At 43.5% G+C, this 19,161-nt stretch overlaps 1 protein-coding gene across 3 annotated transcripts in view; it reads left to right on the top strand.

The window, feature by feature from the left end:
- NUP214 (nucleoporin 214) overlaps positions 1–19,161 on the top strand; it is a 109,078-nt gene that overhangs the window by 79,597 nt on the left and 10,320 nt on the right. For all 3 annotated transcript variants that reach the window (NM_005085.4, NM_001318324.2, NM_001318325.2), the window contains 2 exons: positions 10,030–10,186; positions 17,596–17,748. In NM_005085.4, the coding sequence (NP_005076.3) occupies positions 10,030–10,186; positions 17,596–17,748 (310 nt within the window). The remainder of the gene's footprint in view (positions 1–10,029; positions 10,187–17,595; positions 17,749–19,161) is intronic.

Genomic DNA, 19,161 nt, shown 5'->3' on the forward strand with positions numbered 1-19,161 from the left:
ATTATGGCCCTCTTAATTTTAGGGTAAAACAAGCCATTAAATAGGAAAATTGTAGCCTATGTAACCAACAGTGTAATTGTATTCAGAATATGTAAAGCTTTCCTATAGTTCAAAAAGAAAGACAGCTATACCCAAATTAAATTAAAAGGCTGACAGTACCAAGTATTGGTGAGGAAGAAGAGCAACTGGGAACTCATATTGCTAGTGAGAGTGTAAATTCATATTAACCACTTTGGAAAACCATTTGGCAGTATCAAAACTAATATACAAAATCCCTCTTGGCCCAGCAAATCTACCCTGAATATGTAACCAACAGAAATGAGTGCCTTTGTTCACCAAAAGATATTGATAAGAATGTTCACAGCAGAATATTCTTAATAGCTAAACACAGGAAACAGCCCAAATGCTTATGAGCTAAAGAATGCATAAATAAATTGTGGTATATTCATACAGCCCAATACTACAGAGAAATAAAATGTACTGCTCCTATAGCTGGCCTAGGTTTGTTTTTTTGTTGTTGTTTTGTTTTTGAGACGGAGCCTTACTCTGTTGCCCAGGCTGGAGTGTGGTGGCATGGTCTTGGCTCACTGCAACCTCTGCCTGCTGGATTCAACCTCAGCCTCCCGAGCAGCTGGGATTATAGGTGCCCACCACCACGCCCAGCTAATTTTTGTATTTTTAGTAGAGACAGGGTTTCGCCATGTTGGCCAGGCTGGCCTTGAACTCCTGAACTCAGGTGATCTGCCCACCTCGACTTCCCAAAGTGCTGGGATTACAGTCATGAGCCACCATGCCCAGCCTAAATTTGTTTTTTAAAGAAATTCGTGCACGTATGTATCAGGATACAAGTGTATTCATAGCAACATTGTTATAATAGCTTACAACTAGAAGCAGCCCAAATGTTTGTCAGCATTCATATGGGTAGGTAAATTTACATTATTCCACATAGAATTTTTTTCTTTTTTCTTTTTTTTTTTTTTGAGACAGGGTTTTACTCCTGTCGTCAAGGCTGGAGTGCAGTGATGCGATCTCCACTCACTGCAACCTTTGCCTCCCAGGCTCAAGTGATTCTCCTGCCTTAGCTACCCAAGTAGCTGAGACTACAGGTGCACACACTGTGCCTGGCTAATTTTTTGTATTTTTTTGTAGAGACGGGGTTTCACATGTTGCCCAGGCTGGTCTTGAACTCCTGGGCTTAAGCAATCTGCCTGCCTCGGCCTCCCAAAGTGCTGAGATTAGAGACATGAGCCACTGTGCCCAACCCTCTTTTCTTTTTTTTTGAGACAGGATCTCACTCTGTCACCCAGGGTGGAGTGCAGTGGCACAGTCACAGGTAACTGCAGCCTTGATCTCCTGGGCTCAAGCAGTCCTCCTATCAGTTCTCCAGAATAGCTAGGTCCACAGGTGCACCACCACGCCCAACTAATTTTTTCAGTTTTTTGTAGAGATGGGGTCTCACCGTATTGTCTAGGCTGGTCTGTAACTCCTGGCCCAAGTGATCCTCCCACCTGGACCTCCCAAAGTGCTGATGAGATTACAGGCATGAGACACCATACCTGGTCTCATAGTAGAATATTATCCAGCTATGAAAAGGAGCAGATTTCAGCTCCATGTATAACTAACAAGCACAATGTTGAGCCAAAGAAATAGAAAACATCACTGTGATAAACTCCATATTGTTACTTCCCCTTCCACTCCGTATTCTTCCACCACGGAAATTATGTATGCAATTGGAAGGGCCAAAGATTGAAATCAAGGTTTTTTCTATGATGGCAGGGGCCTTATTGTTTTTATTGATTGCTGTATCTCCAATGCTTAGGACTATGTCTGGCACATGATAGGCATTGTGGAAATGAATGAACTTTCAGGTAGCAGAAGTATCCTCAGAAAACTCTAAAGATGCTAGGCAGATTCTGGCTAGGATGTAAAAGAATATAGAAAACCTTCACTGCCATAATAACACCAAGAAAAATCCAGATGATGTAGAAGTCACACTTACTCTGGCAGTATTGGAATTATTTACTGCTGTATAACAAATTGCCTCAAAACCTAGTAGCCTGCAACAGCTACTTATTTATTATAGTCTTGGATTCTGTAGGTCATAACTTCAGATGGACTTAGTAGGGATGGCTTGTCTTCACAGTATCTGTGATCTCAGCTGGAAGAAGGGAAGACTGGAGGCAGGAGTCATCTGAAGGCTCACTCTGATGTCAGTGGTTGGCTTGGCTGTTGGCTCAGACCTTAGCTGGAGCTGTTAGCTGAACACCTACATTTGGCCTATGTAGCCTGGGCTTCCTCACAACGTGGTGGCTAGGTTCCAAGGAGGAACATTCCAAGAAAGAGGAAGAGCCATGCTGAAGCTGTATAACCTTTTATGACCTATCCTCAGAAGTCACAGAACATCACTTAGGCTGCATCCTCTTCATCAAGGCACTCACAAAGTCCCATCCAGGTTCAAGAGGAGATACAGAGGCCGCCTCTTGCTCTAGAAGAGCATATGTGACTAGAAGTATTGCTGTGATCATCTTTGGAAAATATCTGTCATAATGGGACCATTGAAGAGTGGCAGAAAGCCTTGTTGAACTGGTTTCCAGAGAGTGGAGCCCATCATAGGTGTGAGCACTGTGGCACAGCAGCTGCTGGGGGCAGATGCCAGGTCTGGGTTTGAGCAGGTAGTAGAGAGGACTTGCCAAAGACTGAGAAAATGTACTGGCTGGAGAAGGAGCTGTTGGCAGTGATGGGGGCAAGCAAAATAAATGACCAGTAATTACATGAAAAGGTGATCAAGTAGCATTAAACTAATGAGGGAAATGAAAATCAAAACCACAATTAGATAAGATACCACTTCACACCCCCTAGGATGGCTATCATTTAAAAAGTAAAAAATAAAAATAACCAGTGTTAGCAATGATACAAAGAAATTAGAACCCTCATACATTGCTGATGGGAATGCAAAATTGTGCAGCTACTATAGTTTGGTGGTTTCTCAAAAAGCTAAATATAGTACTTCTACCATATGACCCAGCAATTCTGCTCTGGGGTAGAATACCCAAAGGAATTGAAAAAAAGGGATTCGAACAAATACTTGTACATCAATGTTCATTGCAGCATTATTCACAGTAGCCAAAAGGTGGAAACAACCCAAGTGTCAAACAGCAGATGAATGGATAAACAAAATGTGGTATATACATTCCATGGGATATTTTTCAGCCATAAAAAGGAGTGAAGTTCTTGGCCGGGTGCAGTGGCTCACGCCTGTAATCCCAGCACTTTGGGAGGCTGAGGCGGGCGGATCACGAGGTCAGGAGATCGAGACCATCCTGGCTAACACAGTGAAACCCTGTCTCTATTAAAAATACAAAAAATTATCCAGGCGTGGTGGCGGGTGCCTGTAGTCCCAGCTACTCGGGAGGCTGAGGCAGGAGAATGGCATGAACCCAGGAGGCAGAGCTTGCAGTGAGCCGAGATCGCGCCACTGCACTCCAGCCTGGGCGACAGAGCGAGACTCCGTCTCAGAACAAAACAAAACAAAAACAAAAGGAATGAAGTTCTCGGCTGGGCATGGTGGCTCACACCTTTAATCCCAGCACTTTGGGAGGCTGAGGCAGGCATATCATGAGTCAAGAGATGGAGACCATCCTGGCCAACATGGTGACACACCGTCTCTACTAAAAACAAAAATTAGCTGGGCATGGTGAAGCTCGCCGGTAGTCCCAGCTACTTGGGAGGCTGAGGCAGGAGAATCGCTTGAACCCAGGAGGCGGAGGTTGCAGTGAGCCGAGATCACGCCACTGCACTCCAGCCTGGGCGACAGAGTGAGACTCCATCTCAAAAAAATAAATAATAAAAAGGAATGAAGTTCTCATTCATGCTACATATAGATAAACTTTGAAAACCATATGCTAAGGCTGGGCGCAGTGGCACACACACCTGTGATCCCAGCACTTTGGGAGGCTGGGATGGGCAGATTGCTTGAGCTCAGGAGTTTGAGACTAGCCTGGGCAACATGGCAAAATTCCATCTCTACAAAAAAAAAGACCCACAAGTTGGCTGGGCGTGGCAGTGCATGCCTGTAGTCCCAACTACTAAGGAGGCTGAGGTGGGAGGATCACTTGAGCTCGGGAGGTCAAGGCTGCTGCAGTGAGCTATGTTCCTATCACTGCACTCTGGCCTGGGTGACAAAGTGAGAACCCTGTCTCAGTCAGTCAAATTTATTTATTTATTTAGAGACGGAGTCTTGCTCTGTCGCCCATGCTGGAGTGCAGTGGCACAGTCTCAGCTCACTGCAACCTCCGACTCCCAGGTTCAATCAATTCTCCCACCTCAGCCTCTCAAGTAGTAGCTGGGACTACAGGTGTTCACTGTCACACCTGGCTACTTTTTGTATTTTTAGTAGAGTTGGAGTTTCACCATGTTGGCCAGGCTGGTCTCGAACTCCTCACCTTAGGTGATCTGCCTGCCTCGGCCTCCCAAAGTGCTGGGATTACAGGCGTGAGCCACTACACCTGGCCTCAGTCAGATATAAAAATTAAAAACTCAGATTGGGATCTGAAAGACTTGTAAGTGCAACAATAATTTATTCAGCATACATATCCTCCAGCTCTCCCCCGCTAATCCTCCCCAACTTTGCAAAGAAAAAGGAACTAAAGCAGCACTAAAAAGTAGAAAGAACTCACAGGGTCTTACATTCTCCTGTTTTCTGGAACTCTTGTTTGAAAGGTGATACTTCCTCTTGCCTCCCACCTCAGATACTTACAGACCAATAACCTAAAACCTAAGTGGAGACTGTTGGGCTAACCAGAGGTGAGCTCAGTCTTCTTAAATCTGTGACTCTGTTCCAGATCAACCCTTAGTGAAATCTGAATAATTATTTCCTCACTTTAATCAGACGAAATGGGAGCTCTCACTCTCTAGGAAAAGCATTAATGTTCTTCAGTCACCACTGTTCTTCCATAATACAAACATACAGAGCAACCAAAAAAGAGAGTGACACCCACAATTAAATTTTTAAAATCAGCAAAAACCAACCTATAGATGATTCAGATATTGGAACTGGAGACAGACTTTAACTGTCATGTTCATAGGGCTTATGGGAAAATAGTTGAAACAGTGGTTGAATAAGGAATCTCAGCAGAGAAATGGAAGCTTAAAAAAACCAATGGAAAGGCCGGGCACAGTGGCTCACGCCTGTAATGCCAGCACTTTGGGAGGCCAAGGCGGGCGGATCACGAGGTCAGGAGTTCAAGACCAGCCTGGCCAACATAGTGAAACCCCATCTCTACTAAAAATACTAAAATTAGCCGGCATGGTGGCGCGCCCCTGTAGTCCCAGCTACTCGGGAGGTTGAGGCAGGAGAACCACTTGAACCCAGGAGGCAGAGGTTGTGGTGAGCCGAGATCACACCACTGCACTCCAGCCTGGGAAACAGAGCGAGACTCCATCTCAAAAAAAAAAACAAAAACGCAAGTCGTTATCTGTATTTGAAGTTTAAATCTAGTACGTGAAATAAAAAACAAAATAGGCTTAACAGCAGAGTGAATACTACAAAAGAACAGTGAACTCGAAGACGTATCAATAGAAATTATCTAAAATGAAGGTCAGAGAGATGGAAAAAAAATGGATAGAGCATTTCTACGATCTATGCAACAATATCAGGCAGTCCAATATATGTGTAATCAGAGTCCTAGAAGGGTAGGAGACAGAATGGGTAGGATAAATTCACAAAAGAAGTGCAAAACTTATACAATGAATACTATAAAACATTGTTGAAATTAATGACAACCTAAATAAATGAAAATACATCCCATATTCATGGATCAGAAGACTCAACATTTTGTTAAAATGGAATACTCTTAGCTAGTAAATTGTAGAACCAGTACTGAAACCAAGGTCTGTTCAAATTAATTTAATCATTCATATAGGAATTCATGGTGAGTAGGACAGGCAAAGGTGGCTGTGTTCATGGAGCCTCCATTAGATGGAGGGAGTCATTCTTTAATAAAACGGTATAATTTCAGATAGTGTTAAGTACTGTGAAATAAAGCATGATGTGATAATAATTGGGGAAGATGGTTTAGGTTAGATGGTCAGGAAATGCCTCTCTGAAAAAGTCTCATAAATGTCTCTTTTTCTTTTTACATTTTGTTTTCTTGAATTAGGACCAAATAAAGGCCACACATTGAGATTGCTTGCTATGTCTCTTAAGTCTCTTTATGTATAGGTTCCTCTTTCATATCTCGCTTTTGAATTTTTCCTGGTAATTCAGTTGTTGAACAAAGCTGGTCATTTGTCCTGTGGCGTTTCCCATGATCTGGTTTCTGACTGCACAGCTTCCAAGTGAATGCCATCTGTTGCGGGAAGTCAGGGACCCCAAATGGAGGGACCTGCTGAAGCCGTGACAGAAGAACATAAATTGTGAAGATTTCATGGACATTTATTAGTTCCCCAAATTAATACTTTTGTAATTTCTTACGCCTGTCTTTACTACAATCTCTGAACATAAATCGTGAAAATGTCATGGACGTTTATCACTTCCCTGATCAGTACTCTTGTGATTTCCTATGCCTGTCTTTACTTTAATCTCTTAATCCCGTCATCTTCATAAGCTGAGGATGTATGTTGCCTCAGGACCCTGTGATGATTGCATTATCTGCACAAATTGTGGAGCATGTGTGTTTGAACAATATGAAATCTGGGCATCCAAAAGGAACAGGATGGCTGCGATTTTCATGGAACAAGGGAGATAACCATTGGGCCTGACTGCCTGAGGGGCTGGACAGAACAGAGTCATATTTCTCTTCTTACAAAACCGAATAGGAGAAATAACACTGAGTTCTTTTTCTCAGCAAGGAACAGCCCTGAGAAAGAGAATGCATTCCTAGGGAGAGGTCTCTAAAATGGCCACTCTAGGAGTGTCTGTCTTACACGGTTGTAGATGAGGGATGAAACAAGCCCCAGTCTCCTGTGGCACCCCAGGCCTCTTAGGATTGGGAAATTCCTGCCTAGTAAATTTTAGTCAGACCGATTGTCTGCTCTCAAACCCTGTCTCCTGATAAGATGTTATCACTGATAATGCATGCCCAGTGGGACATGAAACTTCATCAGCAATTCTAATTTCACCCTGGTCCTGTGATCTCGCTCTGCCCCATTTGCCTTGTGATATTTTATTGCCCTTGAAGCATGTGATCTCTGTGACCCACACCCTATTCATACAACCCTCCCCTTTTGAAATCCATAATAACTTACTGGTTTTGTGGCTCAGGGGGCATCACGGAACCTGCCAACATGTGATGTCTCCCCTGGACACCCAGCTTTAAAATTTCTCTCTTTTGTGTTCTTTCCCTTTATTTCTCAGACTGGCCGACACTTAGGGAAAATAGAACGTATGTTGAAATATCGGGGGCTGGTTCCCCGATAGCCATCCTCAGCCCTCTGTTACTTCCTCTGCAGTGGTGGTTGGGTCTAGAGGCTTGAGGAGAGTCAAGTTAATTGTTTTTGGCAATATTGTAAGTCTGGATCTTAAACACTTACTCCTTACTCCTTACACTATATTAAGGCATTATTGTTAAAATTTTCGGATATAATGGTCATGTAGTGATGGTTTTTTTTATAGATTTATACAGGAAAATTAGTGGATGAAATGATATGTCTGAGATTTGCTCCACTGTAATAAAGGATGAGAAGTACTTGGGGGTAAAGACAAAATCTGACAGGCCATGAGTTGAGCATTGTTGAATCTGGCTGATGGGTGTCTGGAGGGTTCATTATACTCTTCTGTCTGCTTTTTGTAGTTTTTAGATTTTCCATAATTTTGTAGTTTTTAGATTTTCCATAATTTTATGTTTTAAAGCCTGTTGTTATTTATCTCAATTAAAATGAATGGAATTCTCTCTCACCCATTTATGAGGATGCAATAACTATCAATTCATGTTGACTTCAGTAAAATATGTTAGTGATCTACTTCATTTTCATGGGAAGCCATTATTTATCAAATCACTTTTTTTTTTTTTTTTGACGGTGTTTCGCTCTTGTTGCCCAGACTGAAGTTCAATGGCACTATACTGGCTCACTGCAACCTCTGCCTCCCGGGTTCAAGCGATTCTCCTGCCTCAGCCTCCCAGGTAGCTGGGATTATAGGAATGCACCACCACGCCCAGCTAATTTTGTATTTTTAGTAGAGACAGGGTTTCTCCATGTTGGTCAGGCTGGTCTTGAGCTCCCGACCTCAGGTGATCCACCTGCCTCGGCCTCCCAAAGTGCTGGCATTATGGGCATGAGCCGCTGCACCCAGCCTGTCAAATCACATTTTAAAAATTAAGCTGAACCATTTGAGGTTTCTGAGCTTTTTCAGGCAAAATGCTCATATACTGGCAATTTTCTGTGTTTCAGCCTGATGCATGGACGTCAGCTAAGCAGTCAAATACCTTCCACATGCATGCATTCATTGTTAGGTTTTCTAACTTTCCATGGCAGTTTACTAGTTATCAGGGCCAATGCTGTTAGGACTGAATTGGATTCCTAGTTTTTAAAAGCTGTGACTCACCATTAAATGGTTGTAGTGAATTGGTACTGTTGTTGTTGTTGTTGTTGTTGTTGTTGTTGTTGTTAAGAAATTTAAAGGGGGAAAAAAAAGAGACTAGGAAGTACATTAAGTATGTTACCCTAAGACAGAAATTAGCTTGTTGTATTTGAGGCACAGAAGATATGTGTGACTGCCCTGAGTGAGGGGGAGGATGATAAAAGATGATGTCAGAGCAGTGGAAAAGGGACAGATCATGTTGGGCCTTCTAGAATTGGTAGACAGGAGTGAAATGATGTGACTGCCATTGCAAGTAGTGCTCCAGCTGCTGTGTGGACGTAGACTGTAGTGGGAGCAAAAGACCAGCTAAGTTGTTGCATAGTCTGGGCAAAAGGTTGGGGTTAGGTGGCTCAGACCAGAGTAGAAAGGAGGGGATACCCTAGGGGGTGGGGGGCATTTCAGAAGTGGCCCACTGGAGGTTTGATGAGTAGAGATTAAGTGATTACTTAGAAAATACTTAGGAATGTGCCTAGCACATACAGAGTGCTTGATTTTTGGTTCATTGTGGTTAAAACACTGAACAGCAACCATTTTTTGAGCATATAAGTCTGTTTCAGGCTCTGTTCTAAAGTGTGTTACATTTCTTGGCTCACGTAATTCACTCTCCGCTGTGTTGAGATGGGTAGTTTATTACCACCATTTTACAGGAGAGGATCCATAGCACCGCTCTGCTCTTGCAAGTTTCTATGCACAGTGGCCCCTTTCCAAAGTCCATCTTATTCTGCATTCTCAGCCACGGAGAGATGACACTTAACTAAGGTGAATGGCCCCTCAAATGTAGCCCAGTTGTTCTTTAAGAACCAGCTTCCAGAGAAGTTAAGTGTCTGGGACCTGACACAGCCTCGAGTCAGCATTTGCCCCTGTGCTAGCAGCATCCTCTGAGCATGAGATTTGCAAACTTGGACAGAATTCAGCTTTGGTCATCATTTCAACAATGAAGCTAATTTAAGCTTACTTCTGCAGCACTGGGAAAGTCATTATGAAATAAAAGTGCACAAATGGAGAGAAAGACAGTGAAAATCACTTATCATCCATTGCTAATGAGTTCAGCCAAACGCTGGAGGAATCAGAATAAGTGGTGTCCGTAATAGCTTGTAAATGTTTTCGAACTTTTTATTTGGTGGATCTCTTGTGGGGTTGGTTTTCCTGACCCTGGCATTGTGTCAAACAGACACTGCGGGCAGTGTAGCAGATAAACATTAAAAGTTCCCACCTACCATAAATCATGTTTTCAGAGAACTGTGAACATGGAATAGCTTGAGAACTTCTCATAGATAGGAAGTCCCTGTCCAGAGTCTAGCTTCTTTTGTGGTGGTTAGAGCATTTGTACCAGAACTAATCTTGCTTTTTCCATTTGTGCCAGCTGTGAGCACCTCCTGCCCACGGATGCAGCCTGCCATTTCACGATGACCTCTCATCCTATCTTGCTTCCTGACCCTTTTGTTTTTTAGCAATCATCCTCTTCCAGTGGTAGCGTGTTTGGGTCTGGAAACACTGGAAGAGGGGGAGGTTTCTTCAGTGGCCTTGGAGGAAAACCCAGTCAGGATGCAGCCAACAAAAACCCATTCAGCTCGGCCAGTGGGGGCTTTGGATCCACAGCTACCTCAAGTAAGTTGAGAAGACTTTTCCCAGTCCCTTGGTCCCCTAATGCCATTGTCATTCTTAGGGTGTTATCAAAGCTTCAGTGACAAATATAAAAAGAAAAAAAAATCTAGAAGGCTCATTTAAAATATCTTCCCCAAAGCAGTGTGATCTGTTTTGCTTTTTTATTTTTGGTTTTTTAATGAGATGTCCTATATAATCATGAAAAGATATCAGAGCTGCAGGGAGAGGATCTGTGTATTGAGCTGCTCCCCTCTTCTCTCCCAAGGCCCAAATCGCTCTGTTTCTTAGTATTGGAGTGACTTGAAGTGAATGCAAGCAGACAAGCATAAATGAGCAGCAGCAGAGCAAGCCGAGGATGCTGGGAGGAGAGCATGCAGACTTTCATTTGGATAGTACTCTCCAAATTTTCCTTAAAATTCAGCTCCTGTAGGGAGATGTCACCCAAAAGTTGAAGCCTTTAATATTTCTCACCTCTTACATTTTTGTTTTATTTTCATCTGAAGCTGTATCTGCCAGTACTTTCTTTAGCTAATTTTTTTTTTTTTTTTTTTTTTGAGACAGAGTTTCACTCTTGTTGCCCAGGCTGGTGTGCAATGGCGTGATCTCAGCTCACTACAACCTCCGCCTCCCAGGTTCAAATGATTCTCCTGCCTTAGCCTCCCAGGTAGCTGGGATTACAGGCACGTGCTATCACGCCTGGCTGATTTTTATATTTTTAGTAGAGACAGGGTTTCACCATGTTGACCAGGCTGGTCTCAAACTTCTCCGCCCGCCTCGGCCTCCCAAAGTGCTGGGATTACAGGTATGAGCCACCATGCCCAGCCTTCTTTAGCTAATTTTAAAAATTCTTTTTTTTTTTTTTTTCTTTTTTCTTTTTGAGACAGAGTCTTGCTCTGTCACCAAGGCTGGAGTGCAGTGGCGTGATCTTGGCTCACTGCAAGCTCCACTTCCCGGGTTCATGCCATTGTCCTGCCTCAGCGTCCTGAATAGCTGGGATTACAGGTGCCCGCCACCAAGCCCGGCTAATTTTTTATATTTTTTTTAGTAGAGACGGGGTTTCACCATGTTAGCCAGGAGGTCTCGATCTCCTGACCTCATGATCCGCCTGCCTTGGCCTCCCAAAGTGCTGGGATTACAGGCGTGAACCACCACGCCCAGGCTTTTTTTTTTTTTTTCCTTTTTTTTGAAACGGAGTGTTGCTCTGTCACCCAGGCTGGAGTGCAGTGGTGCAATCTCGGCTCACTGCAACCTCCCAGGTTCAAGCAATTCTCCCAGCTCAGCTTCCCGAGTAGCTGGGATTACAGGCACCTGCCACCAAGCCTGGCTAGTTTTTGTATTTTTAGTAGAGACGGGGTTTTACCATGTTGGCCAGGCTGGTCTCGAACCCCTGACCTCAGGTGATCCGCCCACCTCAGCCTCCCAAAGTGCTGGGATTACAGGCGTGAGCCACCGTGCTCGGCCTTAAAAGTTATTTGTTGACCTGTGTATTCATGGTTGGAAATGAAAGAAATCTGTTTGTGTAGATCTTTATCCTGCTGCTCAGGCGGAAGCTGAGATTAGAAGTTGGGAGCCTGTCCTGTTTGTCTCAGCTTCTCTCATTTAATGTGCCCTACATGAAGTTTCTCTCATCTGTTGTGCTGTGTGAGATCTCCATGAATCATGAGCTAGTGTTCTGCAGTCATGACAGATGTTTCCTTAATATTAAGGCCTGTGCAGTTAGCAAAACTTTCTATCCTGATTTGCCCTTCTAAACTCCTAAATCAAAAACTAGTCAGTTTTTTAGTTCAGCCTGGGCAACACAGCAAGTCCCCATCTCAAAAACCAAACAAACAAAAACCTAGTTATTTTGATGTCACTGTCCACTCCACTAATACATAAGGAAAGATTATTGTCAAGAGACACATACCTTTTACCTTGTGAAATTATGTAATCAGAAGTTTTTGTTCTTTAGGTTTCAGTCTGCCAGGAGGGATTTAGAATCCTGGATCTTAGAAATCAAGTCTAGTAGTTTTCAAAAACTGTTTTTGCCAATGAACTCTTAAGTAGCATCCTGATAAGGAAAACAAAAGTAGGTTCATGCTGAAGCAGGGGTCAGGAACTCCAAAACACACAGCTGGCTGGCACCACAGGACCGTGAGGCTCCATAGCACATACTTTGAAAACATCGTCCTTTTATGGCTCTTCATTTTCCATTGAGGAAACAAGCCCAGAATTCTGAGGTCACAGAGCCAGAAAGTCACAGATATAGAACTCAGCTAGACTATATGTCACATGCCAGACACAGAATCTGGCACAGAATAGACACTTAATAACATGCTCCACTGCAGTTAGAAATTTGGGTTTATCCCAGAGCTAAGGTATCATCTGCGAGGTTGTGTTACTGGCCAATTTTGTTAAAAGTTAAATGTGTCATATCCCTATAAACATTCGTTTACTCATCTCTAATGCCATGGCTCTTGACTGTCAAGGAGTTGCCTTCTGTCAGTGGCTGGCTGCAGCTGGTTTGCACGGACACATGAGAGCCAGCCAAGCACATCTTCCCAGTTGTTCATTTGGTGACATCGTTTGGGGTAACCTGAAATGAGCCATTGTGGAGTATTTATATCATGGAAATCAGAAAACCCTACAAACCAGGACTCCCCAGCCTGTCAAACATTACTGGCTGATTCTTCTAATTCTGGTTTAAAGTAAACACATAACTATTCTTGATACCAGATAACCTGTTAGTCTTCATCTTCTAAATGTTGGCTGTTAACTATAAACCAACAATTTACATGTGTGCCTAAGGGAAGTTTAAGTGATTTTGAAGGAGTAGAGGAAACACTTAACATTGTATTATTTTAAAAACTATATGATTTTATTTCAATAGTTTTTGGGGTACTAGGTGTATGATTCAATAGTGAAAGGGACAGGAATTGTTTTAACTCTGAGGGCCACCAAGTACAGAATAAAAGGAAGGAACAGTGGAGAAGGAAGAGCTGGGAGTCGTCTGGGGAAAGGCATTGTCCTCACCACAGTACTCAGGATCGTTTCTGCAGAATCATCAGTGACAGCTTCTTTCTCCTTAATTGACTCTGCATCATTTGATGCTTTGAGCACCACTTCTTTCCTGGACTGTATGAACTGATTCTCCTGGTTCCTTCTGCCTTTCAAACAATTCCTCCTCTGCTTCTCTTCTTATCTCTACCTTCTCTCCCTCCCCTCACCAACCCCCGCACTCCCCGCCCCATTTTGCTATGGGGCATTCCCCGTGGTCATCTGTTCATCACAATCTTCTTCTCCCTTCCCCCTGGCTCTTCCATTGTGGTCTGAAAATCCATGCCAAACCCGAGTCTTAAGACTGCATTTATTTTGCCCCTTTTCCTACTCAAACCCTTGGGCAACTTCCCACTGACTATAGGATAAAGATGAAATAAACTTGAAACTGGAATTCAGGGCCCTCCTTGAGCTGGCCCCAAAGTACCTTTCTGACTGTACTCAGTTCCCCAGCACATTCCTTCTGGTTTGGTCAGTTTGTCTGCTTGCATCCCTCCCTCACTTCCTCCAGGTTCACTTGGCACCCTGCACCCACCTTCTGAGCCTGTCCTTCTTTAAAAGATGAATGCAAGGCTGTTTCTGTGTGCACTGCACCTTTGCCTGAGGGTCATTCAGGCCCACCATGATCGCTCCCTCTCTGGAAATCCTGCAGCCCTTGGATTTCATCACTACACAAACCATCAAGCAGAAGGAAACCAGCCTTTATTAATCACCTGCTGTGTGCCAGAAGCTCAATGCACGTGAGCTAACCACTTCTTACAACAGTGCTTTTAGATGTGGCTGTCCCCATTTCACTGATAGGAAAATCAGGTCCAAGAGGAGATGTATACTGCAGAAGTTGCACAGCTACTAAGTGGCGTAGCCAGGATTTAGTCCAGCTGCGTTTCCCGAGCTCTGATTGGCCTTGTTTACAGAACGTCTCCCAGGTACGCCTTTTTGGGCAACATTTATGCATGGAAAAGACCCCATTATAGAGAGTTATTTGAGCAGTCCCCTTTGTGACATTTATGCCCCGGGCTGCTTTGCCCTGAAACTGCCCACTTTACCCCTGAGAAGTCGTGAGAACTATAACAATGACCGCAAAAGACAAGCTGAGAACACCAGTACTTGGAGTTGGCATGTTCTGTATCCAGAAGCTCAAAGCTTGCAAGAAGGGCTTCTTCTCTCTGTCATCCCCATAGAATCTACTAAAGAAAACCTGGGAACCCATGGAGACATCTAAAATTCACCACCACTGTGGATTGTTACCCATAAGGACCTGTTGCCTCCTTTAGTATTGTCCTGAGGACACTGTGTAGGGCCATTCCCAGCACATTCTTTCTGTTTAGGGTCCTGAAAGACATATTTGTCTCATCAGAAGATGAAGAAGCCGTTTGATGATGATCTTGTGGGTTTACAGGGTCCCTCTACAACTGTTCTTTAAGAAAATATCTTGGAAAGTATCCTGGGCAAGAGCTTCCTGAGAGACCCTTTCGGAGTATGCATTGAATTCTTGTTCAATGACTTTAGACCTGCAGGATGATATGGGGCCTGGTCTGATACTCTGTATCGGATTTAATTGCTATCCAGTTTATATTAAGTATAATTTAATTCAGATTGGGTCAGGCCCTGATGTTGGATGATGCTAGTGTTTTTGCCAAATAAAAGACCAAAGAAGATCCATGTTTTGCCAGCAGGGTGGAAGCCCAGAGCAGATGCCAGTTTTACCTGTACTTGGCACCCCTAAAGTGTCAGTCACAGATGGCTATGCAAAGACAAACTTGTTTTTTTTACTGGATAGTTTATTTACAAGTCAAGAAGAATCTTCTACAGTGAAATATTGTTCGGTCCGCCAAGATATTCTCTTATGGTAATATGAGAATATGGTAACATATTTTCAAAAACTAGAGACTATGTTATTTTGGAACCATTAGGAGAAAACCAAGAAACACATTGTTGACATTAGAAACAGAGACTCAGTCATTGTTTTATGCTACTTTGTTTCAGAGCAGTTTAAATCAATGGTAAAATGTCTCAACATGCAGAGCTCCTTGAGAGACTGTAAATGAGAGTGATTACAGCTTTAATGGTGTCATTCTTGGGATCTTTTAAAAATGAAAAGGATTTGATTATCTCCTGCTGACCTGCTCAGTGTCTTACTAGCTGAAGTGTGATTGAGATGTGGAAGGAAGAGGTTGAAGGAACAGAGAAGGGCAGCAGCCTTTTCCGAGAGTCTACAACATACCACACTAGTGCCCTGTGTGCATCATGTTATCTTCCCAGCATCCCTGCAGAGTCACAATTGCTGTCCTGTTCTGTGTGTGGGGAAACTGGGACTTAGGATAGTTAAGTCCTTGCCCAGGGTGACACAGCTATTAGGTAATCTCACCCGGGTCTGACTGCAAACTTCACTGCTTGTTCCACTATGATATGCCATAAAGATTTTAAAGTCAAAGAGTTCTTAAAGAGAGAAAAAGATTAAAAAGCCCAAAGACTTCTAAATGATCTCTGACTTCCCACCACTGTCCCAATAACATCATTTCACCTCACATTTCATATGGTTGCACCAAGTTTCTCCAAGAGGAGATTCAACCCCAGTCTTGCCCTTGAATTTGTTTGCTATTTGAATTTTGCATTGCTAGCACTAACAAAGTGCAAAAATCTGTTCTTGAAATACCAAGTAAACGGAATGGCTGAGAAGCCTGTTTTCATCTCCATTGTCAAATGTACTGCCATTGAAGGAATCAGACGTAACTTTGGGCTAGCTCGATAAGGGGAAGGTCAAACTGCTCAGAAGGCCATTTTGTGGGACTCCGTCAAGGGATACATTATCCTGTGGTACCGAGTTATGAGGGTGATACAAAGGGATTTCTTAACCACCCAGCTGCCAGTACCTGACATACCTGACATGTGGGTCCTTAGCCAGGCTCTCAAATTGTCAGCAGTGGTTTTATAGGGCAGTGACCATGATGTGATGGGCCAAGTCATATTGTATTACTGGTGCCTGGAAATTTGAGGTGACTGGGTCCCAAAGTGAGGCCACTCACTTCCTGGATTGTGGATTAAGAGCATTGCATCTGGACGTATTAACCATGGTGGCTCTCCTATTAGAGTTGGTTGGTAGCAGCATGAGTTGAGAGACCTGGGGAGGTGACAGGTTAATGGGGGGGCCACCTCTTCCAACAGCTCGACTTTGAAAATGATGTTAAGTGCTCCCCCTCCTCCAGTCCTCTCCTTTCACTTTGCTTGTGAACACCTGACTGGCTTAGGGAGAGACTGGTCCTTCATTACCCACCCAGTGATTACCCAGAGCATATGCTGTGCCTCCCATTTATGCCTTGTGTCTTTGGGCATCCACTCCACTTCAGGATAGCTTCTCCCTGCCTTGTGGGCATATATTCAATAAAACACCCATCTAGACGTGGTAGGAAACGTGAGTTATTCCTTCCCTTCCCACCAACGCCCACCCCCCCCAAAAAAAGTTTGAAAACTCTGACATATCCTGTGCTATATTATCTGAGTGACAGCTGCTGTGTATGTGGACTTTGTCTGTTTATCTATTATTATCTGTCAGGTTTGCATTTCTTGTAACAGGTGAAAAAAAATTCTCAGCCATCTTGGTTTTTAGTAGTTTCCTTTTTTCCTTTAATTCTTGGAGTGAATTCAGTGCATAGTTGAGAGGGGGATGACCCCCTAGATAAGTATCTAAAAGGTCAAGGGCTTCATTAAACCTCTTAGAGGAAATCTGACTGGAAGTCTTGCTAGCCTCTTTAACATTCTTCAGACCATCCCTATATCCCCTTGGATCAAAGACAGGAGCACCATGATTTTTCTCATTTCACTGCCATTCTCTGAGCAGCTCAGGCAGCCATAAGCATGCTGAACTTGACTATAAAAGCAGGAGGTAAGTGCTAGAAGCCATTTTGCCTGGGTTGGATTTGTTCTAACTTTAATTTCCCTAGTTTGACAAAATTTGAAGTTGGTCTTGTGTGAAGAGACCAATCAAAGTAAGCCCTGTTTTCCAGAAGAAAGCAGCCTGTGGGGCAGAGCCCATGGCCTCCATTGCTGGGCAGTCTTGACACTTGCAGGAGCACCCAGTGAGCTTCTACAAAGGAGCCTTTTCAGTGGGACCTCTCACTGCTCCTTTATTTTGTGCCTATAAAATCATGCCAGGAAATCCTGAGCCTGGGTGCCAGAATGATTAAAAACTTCCCAGCAAGGTGCGTGAAAATCAGAGAAAGTACCTGTTGCTGTCACTGTCGCTCCGCTCCCTTGGCTTCTAGGCGGCTTGTCACTCCCATCTTTCCAAACACCCAACTGAGACTTTTTCTGTGTTCTGAGAAGCAGGTAAGGACATTTGTCTCCCTCTGACCTCCCTCACATCTTCATCTCTTCAGATACCTCTAACCTATTTGGAAACAGTGGGGCCAAGACATTTGGTGGATTTGCCAGCTCGTCGTTTGGAGAGCAGAAACCCACTGGCACTTTCAGCTCTGGAGGAGGAAGTGTGGCATCCCAAGGCTTTGGGTTTTCCTCTCCAAACAAAACAGGTACTCCTATGTCTATTTGTTATGGTTATCTTTATATATGTATTTGTTTATGCATAGATATCTGGAAGGAGACATCTCTAGGGTGGTTATCTTAAGAGAGTAGGATTGGAGTAAAGAAGTTAACTGTTTCCTCCGCATTATTTTTATATTTACTGAGCATCTGCTACATTCCTAACATGATTCCAGGTCTTCCAAAACATGTTTAAAAGCATAGAATGCAAGTAATGCAACATTTTTTTTTCTTTTTTTTTTTGTGAGAGGGAGTCTCAATCTGTCGCCAGGCTGGAGTGCAATGGTGCGATCTCAGCTCACAGCAACCTCCAACTCCCTGGTTCAAGCGATTCTCCTGCCTCAGCCTCCCAAGTAGCTGGGATTACAGGCATGTGCCACCATGCCCAGCTAATTTTTGTATTTTTAGGAGAGATGAGGTTTCACCATGTTGGGCAGTCTGGTCTCCATCTCTTGACCTTGTGATCCGCCCACCTCGGCCTCCCAAAGTGCTGGGACTACAGGCATGAGCCACCGCGCCCAGCTGTAATGCAACTCTTAAGAGAACACAGATTCTTCTTGGGGAGAAAACATTGTAAATATTTGACAGTTGCAGAACAAACAAAATAAAGGAACACATAAGGAAATGATAACTGAAGTATCTGCAGGAAAGCATCCTGAGTCATGGATTTGTTGGGGTTCCCATTATTTGTGAGGGTCAAAGCAGATTATCTGTTTAATTTCTAATGTGTATGTTACTTTCCCCTCTTTCGCAAATCACTTTTTTTTTATTTTTATTTATTTATTTATTTTTTTTTTTTTTTTTTTTTTTTTGAGACGGAGTCTCGCTCTGTCGCCCAGGCTGGAGTGCAGTGGCGCAATCTCGGCTCACTGCAAGCTCTGCCTCCTGGGTTCACGCCATTCTCCTGCGTCAGCCTCCCAAGTAGCTGGGACTACAGGCGCCCGCCACCACGCCCGGCTAATTTTTTGTATTTTTAGTAGAGACGGGGTTTCACCGTGTTAGCCAGGATGGTCTCAATCTCCTGACCTCGTGATCCGCCCGCCTCGGCCTCCCAACGTGCTGGGATTACAGGCGTGAGCCACCATGCCCAGCCCCCAAATCACTTTATTTTTAATTGAAGTATATGTTTATCCACAATCCACATAAGTACACAGCTGAATTAATTATCACAGTTGGAATACACCCATGTAACCAAGGAAAAGGAACATTACTAGGACTACTTTTTATCCCAGCATTACTATTAAAGTATATATTTATATAAACTATATGCCTTTTTATAATCATGTATGATGTATTTATAACTACAAATTTTTAATGAACAGTGTATGTTTAGATCTGAAAACATGTACTTCATTTCTGTCATCTGCCTCTCCACCCTGTTTCTGTCTCTGAGATCTGCGGAG

This window comes from Homo sapiens, chromosome 9 (genome assembly GCF_000001405.40).
Source record: "Homo sapiens chromosome 9, GRCh38.p14 Primary Assembly".
NCBI classification, from domain to species: domain Eukaryota; kingdom Metazoa; phylum Chordata; class Mammalia; order Primates; family Hominidae; genus Homo; species Homo sapiens.